Below are 23243 nucleotides of genomic sequence, written 5' to 3'. Positions count from 1 at the left end.
GGGCGACAGAGTGAGACGCTATCTCAAAGAAAAAAAAAAAAAACATGTGCTGGCTGCATCCTGTCCCATATTACCAGTGCCTGCATATCCTGGTTCCCTGGGATATAGTCAGAATGTTTCTGACACATTCACAGCTGAGCTGGTGGTCCTCCATTCCATCCCAGAGATCTCAGGTAGATAAAGAGAGGCTGAGGATCTCACAGGCCAGTTCACCTCTTGGCCAGCCCAGCTCAGAGTCCCCTGAGGAGTCAAAAGCCCCAACCCTCAGACTATCACCCCTGTTTCCCCCAGGGTGACAGAGGCATAAATGAACGATCAAAAGACCAGGAACGGCCAGGCACAGTTGCTCACGCCTGTAATACCAGCACTTTGGGAGGCCAAGGCACGTGGATCACCTGAGGCCAGGAGTTTGAGACCAGCCTGGCCAACATGGTGAAACCCCATCTCTACTAAAAATACAAAAATTAGCCAGGTGTGGTGGCGCGTGCCTGTAATCCCAGTTATTGGGGAAGCTGAGGCAGGAGAATCACTTGAACCCGGGAGGCAGAGGTTGCAGTGAGCCAAGATCATGCCATTGCGCCTGGGAAAAAAGAGCGAAACTCTGCCTCAAAGGAAAAAAAAAAAAGACCAGGAACAAGGAATGTTAAGGGAGGATGACCTACTCAAGTCAAAAACAGCTGACCACGTATGGTGGCTCATGCCTGTAATCCCACCACTTTAGGAGGCCAAGGCAGAGGGATCACTTGGGCTCGGGAGTTTAAGACTAGCCTGGGCAACATGGAAAGACCCTGTCTCTATTATAGTGAAATTGAAAAAAAAAAAAAAAAATCCACTCTAATACCCCACTGCCAGAACACAGAGCCCAAGACCCGAATTCAGGACAAAGCAAAGCCCTTTACTCTCTCATTCCCTCCATGCATTTATGGAACGCTTACTGCATGCCAGGCACAGGGCCAGGCTCTGAGGACACAAAGGGGAATCAAACCCAGCAGGAGAGCCAGGCGTAAAGCAGGTGCCAGGCTACACGCTGGGGCCTAGACTGGAAGCTGGCTCTACCACTTACTGACCAGGTGACCTTGGGCCAGTCCTTCTCCTCTCTGTACCACACTTTGCTTACCTTATTTACAACGTAAAAGGGTTAATAAAGGGATTAGGACAGTTCTTGGCAGAGAGTGGACAGCACATATGTGTGCTATATAGAATCATGGTCTGGGCAGGGCATGGTGGCTCACACCTATAATCCTAGCACTTTAGGAGGCCCAGACAGGAGGATCACTTGAGACAAGGAGTTTGAGGCCAGCCTGGGCAACATAGGGAGACCCTGTCTCTACAAAAATAACAAACTGGCCGGGGGTGGTGGCTCATGCCTGTAATCCCAGCACTTTGGGGGGCCTAGGTGGGTGGATCACCTGAGGTCCGGAGTTCGAGACCAGCCTGGCCAACATGGTGAAATCCCATCTCTACTAAAAATACAAAATCAGCCGGGCGTGGTGGCGCATGCCTGTAATCCCAGCCTCTCGGGAGGCTGAGGCAGGAGAATCGCTTGAATCCAGGAGGCAGAGGTTGCGGCAACTCAAGATCACACCATTACATTTCAGCCTGGGCAACAAAGCGAAACTCCATCTCGGGGGGAAAAATAAAAAAATAAATAAATAAAAAATAAATGTAGATGGGCATGTTGGTGCATGCCTACACTCCCAGCTACTTGGGAGGCTGAGGCAGAAGGATCATTTGAGCCCAGGAGTTCAAGCCTGCAGTGAGCTGTGATCTCACGCCAGTGAAGTCCAGCCTGGGCAACAGAGTATGACTCTGACTCTAAAATTTAAAAAATGAAAAATTAATTTAGAAAAATAAAGATTCATGGTCCTTGGCAACCTGGCTCCACGTTGTCTTTCCTGACCCCTCTGTCACATCCACTCTATCCCCCCAACCTTCACACCGTGTTCCTTCACCGAACACCTTGTCCTCCCTGCCTGCATCCTCCCCTTAACCTTCCACCCCTCCCTGGACACACTGTTCACCCTGCTCAGAATGTCCTGCCTTAAACTTGTTCTCTCCTTTTTTTTTTCTTTTTCTTTTTTGAGATGAGGTCTCGCTCTGTCCCCCAGACTGGAGCACAGTGGTGCGATCTCGGCTTACTGCAGCCTCCACTTCCCGGGTTCAAGCAATTCTCCTGCCTCAGCCTCTTGAGTAGCTAGGACTACAGGCGTGTGCCACCACGCCGGCTAATTTTTTTATTTTTAGTAGAGACGGGGTTTTGCCATGTTGGCTATACTGGTCTCAAATTCCCGACCTCAAGTGATTCTCCCGCCTCAGCCTCCCAAAGTGCTGGGATTACAGGCATGAGCCACGATGCCCAGCCTCCCTCCTCTTTTTACAATACTCAAGGGCTACACTCTCCGAGAACTCTCTGTTCAGGGCTCAGAAGCTGCAGGTTGCAGGGGCTAAAAGCATGGCATCTGGGGTCCCACCCCTGACTCGGCTGCACATTAGTGGTGTGATCTTGAGCAGGACACTTAACCTCTCTTGCCTGGTTTCCTCACCTGTAAGATGGGAACAAAGCAGGACCCATCTCACAGGGTTGTTGTGAAAATTCAATGAATTTCAAGACACGTGAAACACCAAGAATACTGCCAGGTACATACATAGTAAGTGCTCAATACACACCAGCTGTAATTAATAAAGTTGTTTCCTTGTCTCTGTCACTCACTAAGTTGTGTATCCCCCGGGACAGAGCAGTTTCCTATTTAGCTTAGCAACCCACCCCCTATGCCAGATAGTGAAAACTCAAGGCCATTAGACCCCAGGCAGTTAGTATATAAGTGACCAAAGTAGCCAATGCAAGAGCAAAGTGTGGCAAACGCAACAAAAGGGGGCATCTGCCACTCAATCAGTGGCAGGGAAGACAATAGGGCATGGTGGGGACTGTGGCAAACTGGACAACACATGCCCCATCCAAAGACTGCAGCTGGGGCTGGGAACAGTGGCTCATGCTTATAATGCCAGTGCTCTGGAAGGATCACTTGAGGCCAGGAGTCTAAGACCAGCCTAGACAACACAGTGAGATCCCATTTCTACAGAAAAATTTAAAATTAGCCAAAAATAAGCTGGGCGTGGTGACACACACCTGTAGTCCCAACTACTCAGAAGTCTGAGGTAGGAGGATTGCTTGAGGCCAGAAGTTTGAGGCTGCAGTGAACTATGATGGTACCATAGCACTCCAGCCTGGATGAAAGCGAGATCTCATGTCTTTAAAAAAAAAAAAAAAAAAAAAAAGGCTACATTTAATTTATATCCCAGCTCCAGCTGATCATTGCCTTAAAAAACTATGATTCTAGTCTTACGAGTTATTACTTTTGGTCTCCACTGAGCCCAGCAGATGGCCCAGGGGTCACAGCCAGCTCCTACTTACCATGGTGATGCCCAAGAGAGTTGGGCTGACCAGAAACACTGGGGCCAGGAATATGCCCCGACTTCTTTCCCAGAAAGAGTAGAAGAGGTCTGCCCAGCAGACGATCCACAGCAAAAATCCCAAGGCCTGGAAGAGAAGCACATACATATCCTACAACAGACCGCCCTGGAACCTCCCCCAGGGCCTGCACGAACAGCTCAGCCCCAGGGATAGGAGAACCAGCCAGCCTTCAAATGATCAGCCACAGTCCTAGGACATGGCACATATCCACTGGAATAAGGACAAGTCCTCGGTATGGTGAGCTGGCATCCAGGCCGGCACGTGATGGTCTGTAATCAGCCTGCTACGCCCCACTACCTCCAACAGGACTGTTTGTCTGGTCACCATGCTCCCCGGTGCCTGAACACTCAAGAGCTCAGCTCACAGCTCATCTCTAGCTGCAACTCCGGCGCACTGCACAAGAAAGCCCTCCACGACAACCATTCATTCAACCAGTATTTACTGAGAGCCCTCTACGGGTGGGATATGTTTCAAGGTGCATCCATTCTCAAATGATTCAGAAAAAATAAATTATAGCATGCATACAGAGAGAGAGAACAAAAGCTCATGATAAAACAAATGTAGCAAAAGATTAAAAAATCAGTGAATACAGGCCAGATTCATGCCTGTAATACCAGCACTTTGGGAGGCCGAGGCAGGAGGATCACTGGAAGCCAGGAGTTTGACAACAGCCTGGGCAACAAGGCGAGACCCTGTCTCTACAAAAAATTGTTTTAAATTAGCCAGGCATGGTGGTGTATGCCTGCAGTCCCAGCTACCAGCTACTCAAAAAGCTGAGGCAGGAGGATGGCTTGAGCCAGGAGTTCAAGGTTGCAGTATGCTGTGATCATACCATTGCACTCCAGCCTGGGCAAAAGAGCAACACCTTGTGTCAAAAAAAAACAAAAAACAACAACAAAAAAAAAAAAAACAGGAAACAGTGACTATGAGTGATGGATAGAGAAAATCAGGCAGCAGTTCCTGGTATCATCGCAACTTTTTTTTTTTTTTTTTTTTTTTGAGAAGGAGTCTCGCTCTGTTGCACAGGCTAGAGTGCAGTGGCACTATCTCAGTTCACTGCAACCTCTGCCTCCTGGGTTCAAGGGATCCTCCCACCTCAGCCTCCCAAGTTGCTAAGATTACAGGCACATGCCACCACACCCAGCTCATTTTTGTATTTTTAGTAGAGACAGGTTCACCATGTTGGTCAGGCTGGTCTCAAACTCCTGACCTGCCCGCCTTGGCCTCCCAAAGTGCTGGGATTACAGGCGTGAGCCACCACGCCTGGCCCATTATTGCAATTTTCCTGTAGCTTTAAATTATTTCAAAATAAAAGCCAACTTAAAAAAAAAATTAGGGGCCAGGCGTGGTGGTTCACACTGAGCATCCCAGTACTTTGGGAGACCAAGGCAGGAGGACTGCTTGAGGCCAGGTGTTCAAGACCAGCCCGGGCAACACAGCAAGTCCCCCCTCTCTACAAAAAATAAATTAAAAATTGGCCAGAAAAAATCTATATAAATATATTTAATTAAATAAAAAGGAGATCGGCTCAGTAAGAGGGGAAGAGCTGATAATCTCCCAGGAATGCCTTGAGAACAAGCCTATCATTCCTATTGCATAAACAGGGAAACTGAGGCTTGGGGAGGTTAAAAAATTTGCTCGAGGCCAAATACTAAGCGGCAGAGCAAAGATTTGTACCCATGTTTGTCTCCAGAGCTCCAGTTTTCACCTCCCACATTATTCTTCTGCCTTCTAGAAGAAGGAACTTAGGGTCAACTAAGTAGAAGAGAAATGTCAGTTATCACCAACCACCACTCCCCGTCCAGGTGCACCTTCCCACCCCCCACAACGAAACCCCCCAGTGACTTACAGTTTTGGTTTTGTTGAGAGGTGTCATCTGAATGTAGCCTCGGTCATGTCGGGAGAGATAGAGGAAGTAGAAGGGGAAACAGGCCCAGAGGTAAAAACAAGGCACCCACACGAGGACCGTGTTCTGAAAGCACTTGGTGAAGTCGGGGTTGCTGGTATTCCACGTGACATTCCAGTCCTGCGAACACAAACACAGGCGAGGGGTCAGCAGGACACACCCCAGAGGACAGGAGCTCGCCTGGAGCATGAAACCAGCTGCCACGGGGTTTGAAGAAACAGACAAGGCTCCTATATATCCAAGGACCTTTCAGGATGAACACGCAAACTAAAAAGATCAGTAGCCAGAAAGACTAAGAAATGAGGAACAAGGGATAAAGGTATGTGGTGTCTTCTGCACTCCCACCTGAGCAACAGAGACCCTGTCTCAAAATAAATAAATAAAAATAAAGCTCTCTTAACAGGAGCATACAGGTCAGGTGCAGTGGCTCATGCCTGTAATCCCAGCACTTTGGGAGGCCAAGTGGGCAGACCACTTTAGGCTGGGAGTTCGAGACCAGCCTAGGCAAGATAGTGAGATGCTGCCTCTATGAAAAACACAAAAAGTGGCTGAGCATGGAGCGTGCCTGTATTCCCAGCCACTCAGGCGGCTGAAGTGGGAGGAGTGCCTGAGCCTGGAAGGCGGAAGTTGCAACGAGCTGAGATCATGCCACTGTACTACACCCTGGGCAACAGAGCGAGACCCTGTCTCTCACACACACACACACACACACACACACACAACAGTGCATACACACAAAAAAACCCACCAACAACAAAAAGGTATGTAGCATCTCATCTCACATTAACAGTCCCCAGAACCTGTGGCAAGTCCCACTGTAGTACGAAAGATGGAGAGAGCCATTTAAAGGAACCCTGAAGGATATTCTCTTATAACCGAAGAGCCCTGTGTCATCTAGATCACTCTGACCTTGTGAACTGAGGACTTTCTAATCATCTTCATTCATCATCATCACCTTCCCCACTATGACCATCACCACCACCAATATCACTGCCAACACCATCACCACCATCACCACCATCATCATCACCATCGCCACCATCACCACCACCATCACCGCCACCGCCACCGCCACCGCCACCGCCACCACCACGGATAACAACCAAACTGCAGTTCTGTATGCCAGGCTTTATTCTAAGTACCTCATGTGTATTATCTCCTTTCATTCTGTAATTATTTTTATCATCTCCTTTTTCAGATGTGAAACTCAGGCACAGAAGGGTTAAATACTGTGTCCAGTATCACACAGCTGGTAAGCTCTGGAGCTGAATTCAAACTCGGGCAATGTTGTTCAAGTCTGCATTTTGCCACTGAGCTGTCCAGCCTTGGAAACAAATTTTGTTTCAATTACTTTTACTTAAAAAAAAAAAGCCTGTATTTTGCTAAAGAGCCATGCCAAATAGACAAATTCATAGATACATACATAAATAGATCAGATGTACCTGCCCAAGAATAAACCTCCACCATCAGCTGTTCTGTAATGAAGAATTTAAATTTTTCTTTTTTTTTTCTTTTTTTGAAATGAGGTCTTGCTCTGTTGCCCAGGCTGAAGTGTGGTGGTAAGATCACAGCTTCCTGTGCCTTGAACTTTTGGGCTCAAGCAGTCCTCCCACCTCTGCCTCCCAAGCAGCTATACTACAGGTGTGCACCACCATGCCCAGCTGAAGAATTTAAATTTAATTCAAGCCATAATCTGGCAACTGACTAAATAACTTTGGGAAAACTTACTACCCTTTTTGGGGTCTCAATTTCCTATCTCCACCACAATTCAATCGGATAAAATAAGAAGTACAAAATAGGTTTCCCCACCCACAGTTTGGCCCATAGATGGCTTGTTGTTATTGCTGTTGTTTTAGGCATACTTTTTGTTTTTAAAAAAATTAGATTAGATCCCAACATTTAAAATTTGATTTCCGGCTTTTTATTTTTATTTTTTTTTTTCTTGACAGAGTCTTGCTTTGTCACCCAGACTGGAATGCAGTGGCATGATCTCAGCTCACTGCAATCTCTGCTTCTCGGGTTCAAGCGATCTCGGCTCACTGCAATCTCTGCTTCCCGGGTTCAAGTGATTCTCCTGCCTCAACCTCCTAAATAGCTGGGACTGCGGTCACCCCGCTTGGCTAATTTTTTTTGAATTTTTAGTAAAGACAAGGTTTTACCATATTGGCCAGTCTAGTCTCGAAGTCCTAAACCTCAGGTGATCTGCCAACCTCAGTCTCCCAAAGTGTTGGAATGACAGGCGTGAGCCACCACGCCCGGTCTCTGGCATAACTTTAAAAATCAGAAAATCTTCTGGGCGCAGTGGCTCACGCCTGTCATCCCAGCACTTTGGGAGGCCGAGGCAGGAGGATCACGAGGTCAGGAGATCAAGACCATCCTGGCCAACATGGTAAAACCTCATCTCTACTAAAGTACAAAAAACTAGCCAGGCATGGTGGCGCATGCCTGTAGTCTCAGCTACTTGGGAGGCTGAGGCAGGGGAATCACTTGAACCCAGGAGGCGGAGGTTGCAGTGAGCCAATATCATGCCACTGCACTCCAGCCTGGCAACAGAGCAAGACTGTGTCTCAAAAAAAAAAAAAAAAATCAGAAAATCTGGTGGTGCTGGGCCCCATTCCTGTTACATGACCATCAGTAGGAGCTGGGAGGGGCCAATCTTTAGATTAGGCCCAGTTGTCCATTTGGCTGCGGTCCCCAAAAAGCCCACTTCTCCCACAGCCTTCCCATCCTACTGGCCTATGCACCCTCCAAATAGCTCTGATTCCAACAGCCCTCCCACGATCACCTGAGACCCCCATGGAGTGTCAAGGAACCCAGACCCTTACAGCTCCACAGAGCTTTAAAGCCATATCAAAAAAAAAAAAAAGTTAAAAATGAGAAATGAGGGAAATAAGATCACTTCACTTAAAAAAAAAAGTGTCAATCTGATCAAAATATACATGTTCCAATAATTAAAGAGATCTAGTTATTAGGTTGGGCGCGGTGGCTCATGCCTGTAATCCCAGCACTTTGGGAGGCCTAGGCAGGCAGTCAGGAGTCTGAGACAAGCCCGGCCAACATGGCAAGAACCCCCCATAAAAACATAATTTTTATATTTTACTAAAAACATAAAAATTAGCCGGGCAGGGTAGTGCACGTCTGTAATCCCAGCTAGTAGGGAGGCTCAGGCAGGAGAATCACCTGAACCCGGGAGGCAAAGGTTGCAGTGAGCTGAGACTGCACCACTGCACTCCAGCCTGGGCAACACAGTCTCCATCTCAAAAAAAAAAAAAAAAAAAGTAAACCTTACAAGGCCAACACATACAAAGAGATTTAGCCAGGAAACATCAAGACACAAACCCTAAAAAGGACAAAGTTCACGTCTTTTTGGCCTGGCGTATTTGGAACACAGCCTTGTAAAGAAGAAGTTGATCGTGGAGAAGGCATGACATCTCAAAGACTGATTATTTTAATTGATTTCATACTACTGTTAATTCCTGAGGTGATGGCTGAAAAAAGGATTAAACTGTTGGTGGTCATTATATACAGAACAGCTTCTGAGCAGTTGCCAGTAAAAGCTCATTCCAAAGGAATGTGCCCTGCTAGAAAGAAAACGATACCAAGACTTGACATATGCAGTTATGTATACAAGAGACATAGTTCCAATGTTAAACATTTAATTGACCTGATCCTAGCCCCAAATTATTCCTTGCCAGGACTATGCAACTGCTTCCTAAGTCTTCACTGCCTCCAGCCTCTCCTTGTCCTACTGAGTCCTCCCCGCTACAGCCAGTGCTCCCCACCACAGTCAGTGTTCCCCACCACAGCCAGTCCTCCCTATCATAGCCAGAGAATTATCTATGTACACATCCATATGTATACCCATGGATATATTTATCACCCAACCATGAACCCATCCATCCATCCATCCACCAATTCATCCATCCACCCACCCACCAATGCATCCATCCACCCAACTACCCACTCACCAATTCATCCATCCACCCCCCCCAACCAATTCATCCATTCAGCTACCCACCTACCAATTCATCCACCCATCCACCCACCCACCAATTCATTCATCCATCCACCTACCCATTCACCAATTCACCCATCCACCCTACCCACCTACCAATTCATTCACCCATCCATCCATCCACCCACCCACCAGTTCATCCATCCATCCACCCACCCACCAATTCATTTATACATCCACCTACCCATCCACCAATTCACCCATCCACCCTACCCACCTACCAATTCATTCACCCATCCATCCATCCATCCACCCACCCACCAGTTCATCCATCCATCCACCCACCCACCAATTCATTTATACATCCACCTACCCATCCACCAATTCACCCATCCACCCTACCCACCTACCAATTCATTCACCCATCCATCCATCCATCCACCCACCTACCAATTCATCCACCCATCCACCAACCCACCAATTCATTCATCCATGCACCTACCCATCCACTAATTCACCCATCCACCCTACCCACCTACCAATTCATTCACCCATCCATCCATCCATCCACCCACCTACCAATTCATCCACCCATCCAGCAACCCACCAGTTCATTCATCCATCCACCTACCCATCCACCAATTCATCCATCCACCCTACCCACCTACCAATTCATTCACCCATCAATCCATCCATCCACCCACCTACCAATTCATCCACCCATCCAGCAACCCACCAGTTCATTCATCCATCCACCTACCCATCCACCAATTCATCCATCCACCCTACCCACCTACCAATTCATTCACCCATCAATCCATCTACCCACCCAACAGTTCATCCATCCATCCACCAACCAATCCATCCACCTGTCTATGTATCCATCTACCCAACCAACTATCCATCCATGCATCCACCCATGTCTCCCTCTCTTTGTAATTATTTTTAATAGGTAATATATTTGTGTGCTAAAACTCTTTCAAATTACTCAAAAAGGTATACAGTGAAAAATATGTCTTTCTCCCCAAATTAACAGCCCCCCATTGCTACCCTACAGGCAAGCTACCATTGCTAACATCTTACATTCTTCCAGATATATTCCAAATACGACCTATTTTGTTGCCACAAAAGGCACTACGATACTCCATTCTATACCTTGCTTTTTTTTACTTAGCTAATATTAAAAACTGAACTTTTTTTTTTTTTTTTGAGACAAGGTCTCACTCTGTTGCCCAGGCTGGAATGCAGTGGTGCAATCATAGCTCACTGCAGCCTCAACCTCTCAGGCTCCAGCAATCCTCCCACCTCAGCCTCCTGAGCAGCTAGGACCACAGGCACACACCACCATGCCCAGCTAATTTTGTATTTTTAGTAGAAATGGGGTTTTGCCATGTTGCTCAGGCTGGTCTCAAAGTCCTGAGCTCAAGCGATCCACTCGCCTTGGCCACCCAAAGTGCTGGGATCACAGGTGTGAACCACCGCACACAGCCTTTGGAAACTATCTTTATCAGTAACATAGATGTGTTTTATTCTTGATATTTCTTTTGAACAAAGAGGTACAAGGGACAAGTCTTCTCATTCCATTCCCTATGGCCCTCCCCTCAGTTCCTCTCTCTAGAGGCAATGATCATGGGTTGCTTATGTCTTCTTTCAGAAAATATTTTATACAAAAATAAAGTAAATATACATCTTCTGTTATCAAATCGAAGGAAGCATACGTTACATAATGTTCCGTACTTTGCTTTTTTCTCTTAACCACAGATTTTAAAGATCATCCCGCAGTATACATGAACAGTTTCCTCACTCTTTGTTACGGCTGCTTTGTATTCTATTGTAGGGATGAACTTGACTTCCATCGGTCTCCTGGGGACTTGGCATTGGTGTTCCTCTTACAAACAATGCAGCATTGAATAAACAATTGAATTTCACACTCAAGCAAGAGTGTTGATAAGATCACTTTCTCTGCCAGGTGTGGTGGCTCCCATCTGTAACTCCAGCATTTTGGGAGGCCCAGGTGGGAGGATCCCATGAGCCCAGGAGTTTGAAACCACCCTGGGCAACATAATGAGACTCTGTCTCACATATATATAAACTTTCAAAAAAGGAACCTGCCAGGTCAAAGGGTGCCTACAGTAACATTTAGACAGACACTGCCCTCCAAATAGGGAACATCAATTCATACTCCAGCTGATAAGGTACAAAGGCAATTACTTCACAAAGCACAGCAGATAACAAGTTTCCGACCTCTGCCAATCTGAAGTGAAAAATATCTCTGTGTAGTTTAAGTTCCTTTTCTCTTTATCATGAGTAAAACTGAGGGTCTTTCCATATGGATTTAAAAGCAATCACGTTTTCCTGCTCAGAGGAAGATTCATAGACTTAGATATTTGCATTAATAAATAGGGCAGATCTAATGGCCTTCTCTCTTCTGCTGGGAAACAACTTCCCATGGCTCCCTATTGGCTTTTAAGAACCAACCCTGGCTGGGCGCGGTGGCTCACGCTTGTAATCCCAGCACTTTGGGAGGCCGAGGTGGGTGGATCACGAGGTCAGCAGATCGAGACCACAGTGAAACCCCGTCTCTACTAAAAATACAAAAAATTAGCCGGGCGTGGTGGCGGGCGCCTGTAGTCCCAGCTACTTGGAGAGGCTGAGGCAGGAGAATGGCGTGCACCCGGGAGGCAGAGCTTGCAGTGAGCCGAGATCGCGCCACTGCACTCCAGCCTGGGCGACAAAGCGAGACTCCATCTCAAAACATAAAAAATAAAAAAAAATAACCAACCCTTGCAGTGATCCATGAGGCCTTCCTTCTACATTCAAGTCCCATCTACTTCTCCTACAATTTCTCCCACCCTGTTCCCCAAATGTGCCTTACTCAGGCATTTACTTAAAGAAGTATTTACCAAGCTTGTTGTCAGATAATGTTCTAGACACTGTTGCAGGCACTGGAGATTCTGAAAGGCTGTGGTTCCTGCCTTCAAGGCATTCCCCAACTGCTGGTCAAATAAATGGTTTCTTCAGTCACCTCTTGCTAGATCCTCTCTCTGCAATGTCTTTCTGTCCTAACAAACTCCTATTCATCCTTCAAAATCCAACTCAGGTACCTCATTTAAAAAGCTTCCTCCACACTCCCCAAACAACCTGCCCCCAACCTTTGCAATGATCTTCTTACTTGTCCACCGTCAATTTCCTCCTTTGTTTTGGTTGTTAAGTAATAATCTGGCTAGGCACAGTAGTTTGCACTTGTAACCTCAGCATTTTGGGAGGCCAAGGCAGGAGGATCACTTGAGCCCAGGAGTTCAAGACCAGCCTGGGAAACATAATGATACCCTCTTTTTTAATAAAATAATTTAAAATTATTTTGAAAAAATTTAACAATTAAACAACAATCCATCCAGGTAGAGACTAGCTATGACCACTCACTTCCTAATTGAGCAGATGTAGATTCAAATTCAGGCCTTAACCCCATGTGAACTTGGGCAAGTCACTTAATTTCTCCAAGCTTCAGTCTCCTGATAAGTAAAAAGAGTCAGAAAAGCTGGACACGGTGGCTCATGCCTGTAATCCCGGCACTTTGGGAGGCCGACACGGGTGGATCACTTGAGCCCAGGAGTTCAAAACCAGCCTGGACAACATGGTGAAACCCGTCTCTACTAGAAACACAAAAATTAGCCAGGCATGGTGAACTCGCCTATAATCCCAGCTACTCAGTGGGCTGAAGCAGGAGATCACCTGAGCCTTGGAAGGTAGACACTGCAGTGAGACATAATCACACCATTGCACTCCAACCTGGGCAACAGAGTGAGAACCTGCTTCAAAAAAAAGGAAGGCCAGGAGCGGTGGCTCACGCCTGTAATCCCAACACTTTGGGAGACCGAGGCGGGCAGATCATGAGATCAGGAGTTCAAGACCATCCTGGCTAATATGGTGAAACTCCGTCTGTACTAAAAATACAAAAATTAGCCAGGCATGGTGGCATGCACCTGTAGTCCCAGCTACTCGGGAGGCTGAGGCAGAAGAATCACTTGAACCTGGGAAGCAGAGGTTGCAGTGAGCCCAGATCGTGCCACTGCACTCCAGCCTGGCGACAAAGCGAGACTCAGGCTGAAAGAAAGAAAGAAAGAAAGAAAGAAAGAAAGAAAGAGACAGAGAGAGAGAGAGAGAGAGAGAGGAGAGAGAGAGAGAGAGAGAGAGAGAGAGAGAGAGAGAGAAAGAGGCCGGGCACAGAGGCTCACACATTTAATCCCAGCAATTTGGGAGACCGAAATGGGAGGACAGCTGGAGCCCAGGAATTCTAGACCAGCCTGGGCAACACAGTGAGACCCCATTTCTTTTATTTTTCTTTTTCTATTTTTTTTTTCTTTTGAGACGGAGTTTCACTCTTGTTGCCCAGGCTGGAGTGCAATGGAGAGATTTCAGCTCACCGCAATCTCTGCCTCCCGGGTTCAAACGAGTCTCCTGCCTCAGCTTCCCGAGTAGCTGGGACTATAGGCGCCTGCCACCACGCCTGGCTAATCTCGTATTTTTAGTAGAGATGGGGTTTCTCCATGTTGGTCAGGCTGTCCTGGAACTCCCAACCTCAGGTGATCCGCCCACCTCAGCCTCCCAAAGTGCTGGGACTACAGGCGTGAGCCATCGCACCCAGCGAGACCCCATTTCTTTAAAAAAATTTTTTTGGCTGGGCACAGTGGCTCACGCCTGTAAACCCAGCACTTCGGGAGGCCAAGGTGGGAGAATCATGAGGTTAGGAGATGGAGACCATCCTGGCTAACACGGTGAAACCCTGTCTCTACTAAAAATATTAAAAAACAAATTAGCCAGGTGTGGTGGCGGGCACCTGTAGTCCCAGCTACTCAGGAGGTTGAGGCAGGAGAATGGCATGAACCCAGAAGGCAGAGCTTGCAGTGAGCCGAGATCGCAGCACTGCACTCCAGCCTGGGAGACAGAGCGAGACTCCGTCTCAAAAAAATATAAAAATTTTTTTTTAATTTTTTTAAAAGTCAGGAAAACACATCATTTGGAAGAGTTCTGGAGAGGATTCAATGGGACAATGTGTGACAGGTGCTGATACAGTCTAGAGACAATAAACCGTAGTAGCAGATACTAATAGTTGATAATAATCACCACTGCCACCACCACTGTATTGCCCAGAGATAAGAAGTCTAAAGGACAAAGAAAAGTTGTCCTTTCAAGCAAGAAAGTAAGCTACAGAAGAAACCAGAGAGCATTTAAGGACACCGGAACTCCAGGGAAGGAGAGGTCAGGAAACGCTGAGCAAAGGAAGGTGTTTCCCCTGCAGAAAGCAAATTGAAGAGCACAGGCTAGCTTCCTGCTCAGAGCCAGATGGCCAGCCCAGACCCAAAGGGCGGCTGTGGGAGGGAGCAGAAGGAAGGGAAGGAAGGCATGACGAGAGGAAATCTGACTCTGACCATGAACTATGACTGTTACAGAAAGCAGCCAACACGGGTCACCCCTGCCATCCACCCCCACATCACCTCCATCACAGCCCCTACAGCGGCCAACAGCATAGGTCACAAAGCTAAGATCATCTGAGGACCGGGCACAGTGGCTCACGCCTGTAAACCCAGCACTTTGGGAGGCTGAGGCGGGAGGATTGCTTGAGCTCAGGAGTTCAAGAAAAGCCTGGGCAACAAAGTAAGACCCTGTCTTCACCAAAAAAATTTAAAAATTATCCAGGCGTGGTAGTGCAGGCCTGTAGTCCCACCTACTCAGAAGGCTGAAGTGGGAGGATCTTTTGAGCCTAGGGGCTTGAGGCTGCAGTGAGCTTTGATCGTCCCACCCAGGCACTCCAGCCTGGGTGACAGAGTAAGAGACTGTCTCAAAGAAACAAAGTATCGGGACTGGGCGCAGTGGGTCACACCTGAAATCCCAGCACTTTGGGAGGCTGAGGAGGGCAGATCACTTGAGGCCAGGAGTTCAAGACCAGCCTGGCCAACATAGTGAAACCCCATCTCTACTGAAAAAGAAAAAAAAAATACATTAGCCAGCCATGGTGGCAAATGCCTGTAATCCCAGCTAGTCGGGCAGCTGAGGCACAAGAATCGCTTAAACCCAGGAGGTGGAGGTTGCAGTGAGCAGAGATCAGGTCATTGTCCTCCAGCCTGGGTGACAGAGCGAGACTCTGTCTCAGGGAAAAAAAAAAAAAAAAAAAAAAGGTATCGAGGCCTCCTGGATGTTCCTTACCGGCAGGGACCCTAATGTGTCCTTCTTTACTTTAACAACTCCAGGAGGTAAGAAGTGCGACTCTCACTACTGGAGGCTTCTGGGAAAAACGGTGAATAATGGGCAATACCTAAAGGCTCAAGGAAGGGACGATTCCCTGGCAGTCTGCAGGCCACTTGCTGTTCCCAACTCAAAGAATCACAGCTACCCGAGGCTGCTTCCTAATCTAGGGAAATCCAGCCAGGCCCACCACGCTCTGAGCAGAATCAGAAGGACCCAACTCTCCAGACACACAATTCAGCCACAAGAGATGAGTCCTGAACACGGTCACCGGTCACTGCACTGGCCCAGGGCCTGCCCTTTGGGGAACCTGGCCCACAGAAATCTTTACAGAGAAAGCGCAAGTCGGCTGGGCGCGGTGGCTCACGCCTATAATCCTAGCACTTTCAGAGGCCAAGGCAGGTGGATCACGAGGTCAGGAGATCAAGACCATCCTGGCTAACATGGTGAAACCCCGTCTCTACTAAAAATACAAAAAAATTCACCAGGCGTGGTGGCACAGGCCTGAGTCCCGGCTACGTGAGAGGCTGAGACAGGAGAATCGCTTGAACCCAGGAGGCAGAGGTTGCAGTGAGCCGAGATTGCACCACTGCACTCCAGCCTGGGCGATAGAGCGAGACTCCGTCTCAAAAAAAAAAAAAAAAGAGAAAGCGCATGTCCTCCCCAGCTCCCGGCTCCCTCCAACAGAGGCTTCTCCTTGCTGGACACTTCACCAGCTTGATCAAGTTGTGTCTCCATGCCCTCAGCCCTGACACTCAAAGAGTTGGGGACCCCGTCCAAGTCCGAGTGGCCCCTGACCTTTGTGTGTTCATAAAATTCCTGTTGCATAGCGTCATGTTTTCTGGGCTGAATGATGATGACTAAGGCACTAGGCATTGATCTAAGTCTTCCCATACAAGATCCTGGTGCTGACCTCCTTTCTGTACATGACCCTGGCCTTGACCTGCCTTCCTGGTTCAGCCCTGATTATCATGGAAGTCCTCGTGCACCGGGCAGCTCACTAACTTTGCCCTACACCCTTACTGCTCCCATCTGGATGGCACAGGTTCTGCACAGATGCTCCACCAGGGCCTGCAGGGATAAGGCAAGCAGGCCTGCAGGGATAACGCATGCAGCCCTGCCAGGGACCCAGCCAGCCAACTCCAGGACAGGAGGGAAGGCCACAGAGAGGATGGGGCAGACAACAGGCAGAAAAAGTGATTATGAATCTCAACTGCCACTGATGGGAGGTAATGAGGACATACTGTGTACCACAAGTTCCACTGAGGCCTGAGCATCCACTCCCAATTCAACCATCTCAATAACTCACAACCAGCTGGGTGCAGTGGCTCATGCCTATATTTCCCAGCACTTGAAGAGGCAGAGGCAGGAGGATAGTTTGAGGCCAGGAATTTCAGATCAGCTTGGGCAACACAGTGAGACTGTATCTCTACAAAAAAATTTAAAAACTTAGCTGGCCGGGTGGAGGGGTTCACGCCTGTAATCCCAGCACTTTGGGAGGCTGAGGCGGGCGGATCATGAGGTCAGGAGTTCGAGACCAGCCTGGCCAACATAGTGAAACCCTCTCTCTACTAAATGTACAAAAATTAGCCGGGCATGGTGGCGTGCGCCTGTAGTCCCAGCTACTCAGGAGACTGAGACAGGAGAATCGCTTGAACCCAGGAGGTGGAGGTTGTGGTGAGCCGAGATCAGGCCACTGCACTCCAGCCTGGACAAAAGAGTGAGACTGCATCTCAAAAAAAAAAAAAAAAAAAAAAAAACTTAGCTGGGCGTGGTGGTACACACCTGTAATCCCAACACTTTGGGGGACCGAGGCAGGAGGATCACTTGAGCCCAGGAGTTCGAGACCAGAGGTGGCAATGGAGTGAGACTCCCCACCTTCTACAAATAAAAAAATTTAAAAGTAGCCAGATGTGATGACGTTTGCCTTTAGTCCCAGCTACTCCAGAGGCTGACGAAGGAGGATCCCTTGAGCCCAGGAGTTCGAGGCTGCAGTGAGCTATGACTGCACCACCGAACTCCAGCCTAGGTGAAAGACTGAGACCCTGTCTCAAAAATAAATAAATAAGTAACTTGCAACAGTCGGGTTCTTATTGCTCAGTGGACATTTATCAGCGACTACTACCATGGGCCAAGGTCATGTGGAAGTAAAATAAAGTCTCCACTCTCACACAATTTCACTTTATGCAAAGCGGCCAAAACTACCAACAGCTAAAAAAAACAACTCTATGTATGCCCAATGGGAGCAAATGGCTTGAAGAAGAAGAAAGTGGGTGAAGCATAATGGTGGGTGGGCAGGTGCTAGTTCTTTATCAGGTAGACAGAAAGGGCCTCTGGGCCAAGATGACATTTCAGCAAAGGGCGAAAAGCAATGAAGAAACCTGTGCCGCCTTCTTCTGTCTATAGAAAGAGTAAGAGGGAAGATTCATTAGTTGCATCAGCCAAGCACCACTCTAAGTGTTTCACATTACATTTCATCCTCACACACAACTCTAGGACTCAGGTACTATAACGTAACCCATTTTACAGATACAGAACCAGGCCTGGTCATATATAACCTGCAAGCAGCATACACAGTCAGGAATTTGATGTTTCGTTTGTTTTTTGAGACGGAGTTTCGCTCTTGTTGCCCAGGCTGGAGTGCAATGGTGTGGTCTCGGCTCACTGCAACCTCCACCTCCCGAGTTCAAGCAATTCTCCTGCCTCAGCCTCGCAAGTACCTGGGATTACAGACGCCTGCTACCACGCCTGGCTAATTTTTGCATTTTTAGTACAGATGGAGTTTCACCATGTTGGCCAGGCTGTTGTCACATTTCTGACCTCATGATCTGCCCTAATCCCAGCTACTAGGGAGGCTGAGGCAGGAGAATTGCTTGAACCCAGGAGGCGGAGGTTGCAGTGAGTCAAAATCACACCACTGCACTCCAGCCTGGGCAACAGAGCAAGACTTCATATTGCAAAAAAAAGAAAAGAAAAAAAGAAAGAAAAAAAGCTAATTAATCTGCAGGGGGTAGGCCTGAAACCAGGGAGAGGAAGGCAACTACTATTTTTTGTTGTATTATCTTTCGTACTGTTTGAATTTTCTCCTCTGCATGATTTCTAAAATAATAATAAGAAAGCTAGTTCGCACTTCAAATAAATAAATAGCAGCAGGAATTGAAGGGTAGGACATTTCTAAATGCTGAGTTGGAAACAAAGAGAAAGCATGTATTTATTGGGTGCCAATAATAACAGCCAGAGTGATCACGCCAGGCACAGTGATTAAGTGCTTCCCAAGCACAGTCCATTTAAGCTTTCCAACAGCCCTACAAAGTCAGGACTATTAAAACTCTCCCCTTTCCTGGCAAGGGCTCTGAGGTCCAGAGAGTTTATGTAAATTGCTTGGGCTCGTCAACCTAGAAGAAACAGGGCCAGGATTTGAACCCACTGAGAGTCTGACACTGAGATCCACCACCTCTAAACCACGTGCTTGAACTCTAAGGCCTTTTGGTTTGTTTGGTCAGCTGGTTTTGTTTTTTGAGACAGGGTCTCACTCTGTTGCCCAGGCTTGAGTACACTGGCACCATCACAGCTCACTGCAGCCTCGATCTCCTGGGCTCCAGCAATCCTCCTGCCTCAGCCTCCCAAGTAGCTGGGACTACCTGGCACGCATCACCATGCCTGGCTAATTTTTGTATCTTTTGTAGATTCAGGGTTTTACCATGTTGCCCAGGCTGGTCTTGAACTCAGTCTGCCCGCCTCGGCCTCCCAGAGTGCCGGGATTAGAGGTGTGAGCCACCATGCCCAGCCAGAATTCTAAGGTGTTTGCAAGGTACATGGCAGACAGATGGAGCCTGAGGTCGCTTGGAGGCAAGATCTCCAGGGCCGGAGATCAAGTGAATGGCCTCAGGCCTCACAGATTCCAAATTCATCTCCCTAGAGCAGAGAAGCAAGATTTTGACTCAGACATGGAAACATTCTACAACTCTTCCCACCCACCCACCCCCGCATGTGAGCAGTGCAGGGTAGTGGTTAACAAAACAAGGTTCCAGGTCTAGGTTCCCGTCTCCACCACTTACAGATGTGTGCCCTCAAGCAGGGCTTCTTCAACCTCAGAACCGCTGGTATTTGAGCCCAAATAATTCTTGGTTGTCGGGGGCCATCCTGTGCATTGTAAGATACTGAGTGGCGTCGCTGGCCTCTGCCACTAGATGATAGTAGCACTCCCCACCTCCTCAAGTTATGACAATCAAAACTGTCTCTAGACATTGCCAAATATCTCCAGAGAGGCAAAAATCATCCCTGCTGCCCTAAAGCAAGTCAGTTCACCTCACCAGGCCTTGATTTCTTCATCTGTGAAATGGGACTAATTCTAGAACCCACCTATTACAGAGTTTAGAGAGTTATCAGGAGGGTTCAATCAGGTGACCCAAGTGCCAGGTTGCAGGAGCTGGTGTTCCCGGCAGCCAAGAGACGGATTAACACAGATAAGTGCAGGGTTCCTGTCATGCATTCATTCATTCAATCTATCATTCGATGACTGTTTATTGAGCACCTACTATATGCCTAGACCTGGGCTAGTCACAGGCATGGGGGAAAATCAGAAACGATATCTCTGTCCTCTTAAGACTCATAGTCCATCAAAGATGAAAGCTCACAGATAAGAACATAATGACAAAGAGCAGTACCTGCTGTGAAGGAAAGAGCAGGGGTGTCAGGACAGGAAGCACCAGAGTGGCGGTCTGGGCAGATGACATCCTAGCAGACTGGAAGGGTCAGGAAGAGCTGGCTGTGCAAAGATCTCGGGAAGCACATACCAGGCAGAAAGATGGCACAGGCAAAGGCCACAGTGGGGTGGGGTGGGGGGAGGATATGGCTGCACCAATGAGCTAGGACCCAAGATTGGGCGGGAGAAGTCACCAAAGGCCACCACATAGCCAATCTTGGAGGCATGGTACAGAGCATGGATTTTTTGTTCTAATTCTCACAGGAGGCCCTGGGAGTGCATTAAGCAGGGTCATGGCATCGCCTAATTCACATATTAAGACAGTGGTCCCTGGCCAGGCACAGTGGCTCACGCCTGTAATCCCAGCACTTTGGGAGGCCGAGGCGGGAGGATCACCCAAGGTTAGGAGTTTGAGAGCAGCCTGGCCAACATGGTAAAACCCCGTCTCTACTAAAAATACAAAAATTAGCCAGGCACGGTGCCATTGTGCCTATAATCCCAGCTACCCAGGAGGCTGAGGCAGGAGAATCGCTGGAACCTGGGAGGCAGAGGCTGCAGTGAGCCGAGATTGTGCCACTGCACTCCAGCCTGGGCAACAGAGCAAGAATCCATCTCAAAAGAAAAAAAGACAGCCATCCCCTTTTTGGCAGCAAGGATAGGTTTTGTGGAAGACGATTTTTCACAGACAGGGTAGGGGATGATTCGAGTGCATTACATTTATTGTGCACTTTATTTCTATGATTACATTGTCATATATAATGAAATAATTATACAACTCACCATTATGTAGAATCGGTGGGAGCCCTGAGTTTGTTTTCCTGCAACTAGATGGTCCCATCTCAGCTGTGATGGGAGACAGTGATAGATCATCAGGCATTGCATTCTCAAAAGAAGCACACAGCCTGGATCCCTCGCGCACACGGTTCACAGCAGGGTTCGCGCTCCTATGAGAATCTAATGCCACAGGTGATCTGACAGGAGGCAGAGCTCAGGCGGTGATGCAAAAGATGGGGAGCGGCTGTAAATACAGATGAAGTCTCACACGCTCGCCTGCCACTCACCTCCTGCTGTGTGGCCTGTGGCCTGGTTCCTAACAGGGCATGCATGAACTGGTGCCAGTCCGTGCTCTGGGGATTGGGGACCCCTGTATTAAGAGACCCTAGGAGAAGATCCTAGGGGAGATGGGAAAGGAGGCTGCAGCCATTGTCAAGGCAACGAAAGGGGTGACAGAGAAGCATGGTTCAAGGCCACTGCAGAGTCGGCGTGTATGGCCTTAGCACATTTACTCCTCCCCGTAACTCTAGGAGAAAGGTGAGGACCAGCAAGGTGAAGGAACAGCCCATAAGTGGGGATGCAAGGATGTCTGACTTAGATTCCATCCCGAGACAGGCACAGTGAGTACAGGTGCTGCTTTGTGACACCGCAGAGTCTACATTCACTGATCCACCTAATGAATGTTGATGGCCCTGCAGCTCCGCCCGCAGTGGGGGTCCTGCTTGGCGACACTGAGCTCTGTCCTGAAGCCCCCAGAAGAGCCGAGAGGTGCCATCCTTGCGGAACTTCACTCAACCCTGAGCTCGCTGGGGCTACTCTTCTTTTGCAGAACAAGCCCTGTACTTTTCATGTATATTGCAAGAATGAAAGGGGTCTGGAGTGGCGCTCTGTTTTGCCAACGGAAAATTAAGAAAAGGGAAAGAAGAGAAATAAGATTCACCCCACCACATACCCATAGCCCCCCGCACCCCACCACACACACACACAAAGCTTCCCTGCGATTTAGAGGCACAGGTGGCCCTAGACCCTGAGACACCCAAATTCCACTCCCTTGAGCTGGACGCTAAACGCCAGGAGGCACTAGCACTGCTGAACTAGAGACGACAGCAGTGATCTCCTAATCTCAGCCACACATGGGCCCTGAAGAGATATCTGCACTCCCGTGTTCACTGGAGCGTCACTCACAGCAACCAAGATGGAGACAACTAAATGTCTATCCGTGGTCAAGTGGACAAAGAAAACATGATCTATACATGCCATGGACTATCGCTCAGCCTTAAAAAGGAAAGAAATCCTGGCCGGGCGCAGTCGCTCACACCTGTAATCCCACCGCTTTGGGAGGTCAAGGCAGGCGGATCACAAGGTCAGGAGGTCGAGACCAACCTGGCTAACACGGTGAAACCCCATCTCTACTAAAAATGCAAAAAAAAAAAAAAAAAAAATTAGCCGGGCGTGGCGGCAGGCACCTGTGGTTCCAGCTACTCGGGAGGCTGAGGCAGGAGGATGGCGTGAACCCAGGAGGCGGAGCTTGCAGTGAGCCGAGATCGTGCCACTGCACTCCAGCCTGGGAGACAGAGCAAGACTCTGTCTAAAAAAAAAAGGAAAGAAATCCTGCCATTTGCAACAACATGGATGCGCCTGGAGAACATTATGCTAAATGAAATAAGCCAGGCACAGGAAGACGAACACTGCAAGATCTCACTCACATGTGACATCTAAAAAAGACAAACTCATAGAAGCAGAGAACAGAATGGTAGTTGCAAGGAGCTGGTGGTGGGGGAAACAGGGAGGTGTTGGTCAAAGCGTATAAAGTTTTGGTCATACAAGATGAGTCAGTCAGTCCTACGGTCTACTGTACAGAATAGTGTCTATAGCTCACAATACTATATTGTATACTTAAAAATTTGCTGATGGCCGGGTGTGATGGCTCATGCCTGTAATCCCAGCACTTTGGGAGGCCGAGGAGGGTGGATCACTTGAAGTCAGGAGTTCAAGACCAGCCTGGCCACTATGGTGAAACCCTGTCTCTACTAAAAATTAGCTGGGTGTGGTGGCAGACGCCTGTAATCCCAGCTGCTTGGGAGGCTGAGGCAGGAGAATCACTTGAACCTGAAAGACAGAGACTGCAGTGAGCTGAGATCGCACCACTGTACTCCAGCCTGGGTGACAGAGCCAGGCTCTGTCTCAA

At 48.3% G+C, this 23243-nt stretch overlaps 1 protein-coding gene across 27 annotated transcripts in view, besides 3 other annotated features; it reads right to left on the bottom strand.

Moving 5' to 3' along the window:
* Positions 1-23243, bottom strand: part of ABCC1 (ATP binding cassette subfamily C member 1 (ABCC1 blood group)) — a 193911-nt gene that overhangs the window by 129740 nt on the left and 40928 nt on the right. For 25 of the 27 annotated variants that reach the window (XM_047434134.1, NM_004996.4, NM_001438755.1 and 22 more), the window contains exons 2-3: positions 5322-5498; positions 3413-3538 (exon numbers count right to left, since the gene is read on the bottom strand). In XM_047434134.1, coding sequence (XP_047290090.1) covers positions 3413-3538; positions 5322-5498 — 303 coding nt within the window. Of the gene's footprint in view, positions 1-3412; positions 3539-5321; positions 5499-6520; positions 6560-21061; positions 21167-23243 lie in introns of those variants that run through there. The other 2 variants (XM_017023237.2, XM_011522497.2) reach the window with 2 other exon arrangements.
* Positions 20891-21422: an enhancer, noted in NCBI's record as "H3K27ac-H3K4me1 hESC enhancer chr16:16085749-16086280 (GRCh37/hg19 assembly coordinates)". NCBI's record gives its function as "activates a minimal SCP1, AML or CMV promoter by ChIP-STARR-seq in primed H9 embryonic stem cells {active_cell/tissue: H9 hESC(primed)}" and the evidence as "EXISTENCE:reporter gene assay evidence [ECO:0000049][PMID:30033119]".
* Positions 21423-21954: an enhancer, noted in NCBI's record as "H3K27ac-H3K4me1 hESC enhancer chr16:16085217-16085748 (GRCh37/hg19 assembly coordinates)". NCBI's record gives its function as "activates a minimal SCP1, AML or CMV promoter by ChIP-STARR-seq in primed H9 embryonic stem cells {active_cell/tissue: H9 hESC(primed)}" and the evidence as "EXISTENCE:reporter gene assay evidence [ECO:0000049][PMID:30033119]".
* Positions 22487-23019: an enhancer, noted in NCBI's record as "H3K4me1 hESC enhancer chr16:16084152-16084684 (GRCh37/hg19 assembly coordinates)". NCBI's record gives its function as "activates a minimal SCP1, AML or CMV promoter by ChIP-STARR-seq in naive H9 embryonic stem cells {active_cell/tissue: H9 hESC(naive)}" and the evidence as "EXISTENCE:reporter gene assay evidence [ECO:0000049][PMID:30033119]".

Source organism: Homo sapiens, chromosome 16 (assembly GCF_000001405.40).
Source record: "Homo sapiens chromosome 16, GRCh38.p14 Primary Assembly".
Classification (NCBI taxonomy): domain Eukaryota; kingdom Metazoa; phylum Chordata; class Mammalia; order Primates; family Hominidae; genus Homo; species Homo sapiens.
The sequence above is the reverse complement of the archived record's forward strand: the minus strand, read 5'-3'. Positions and strand labels throughout refer to the sequence as shown.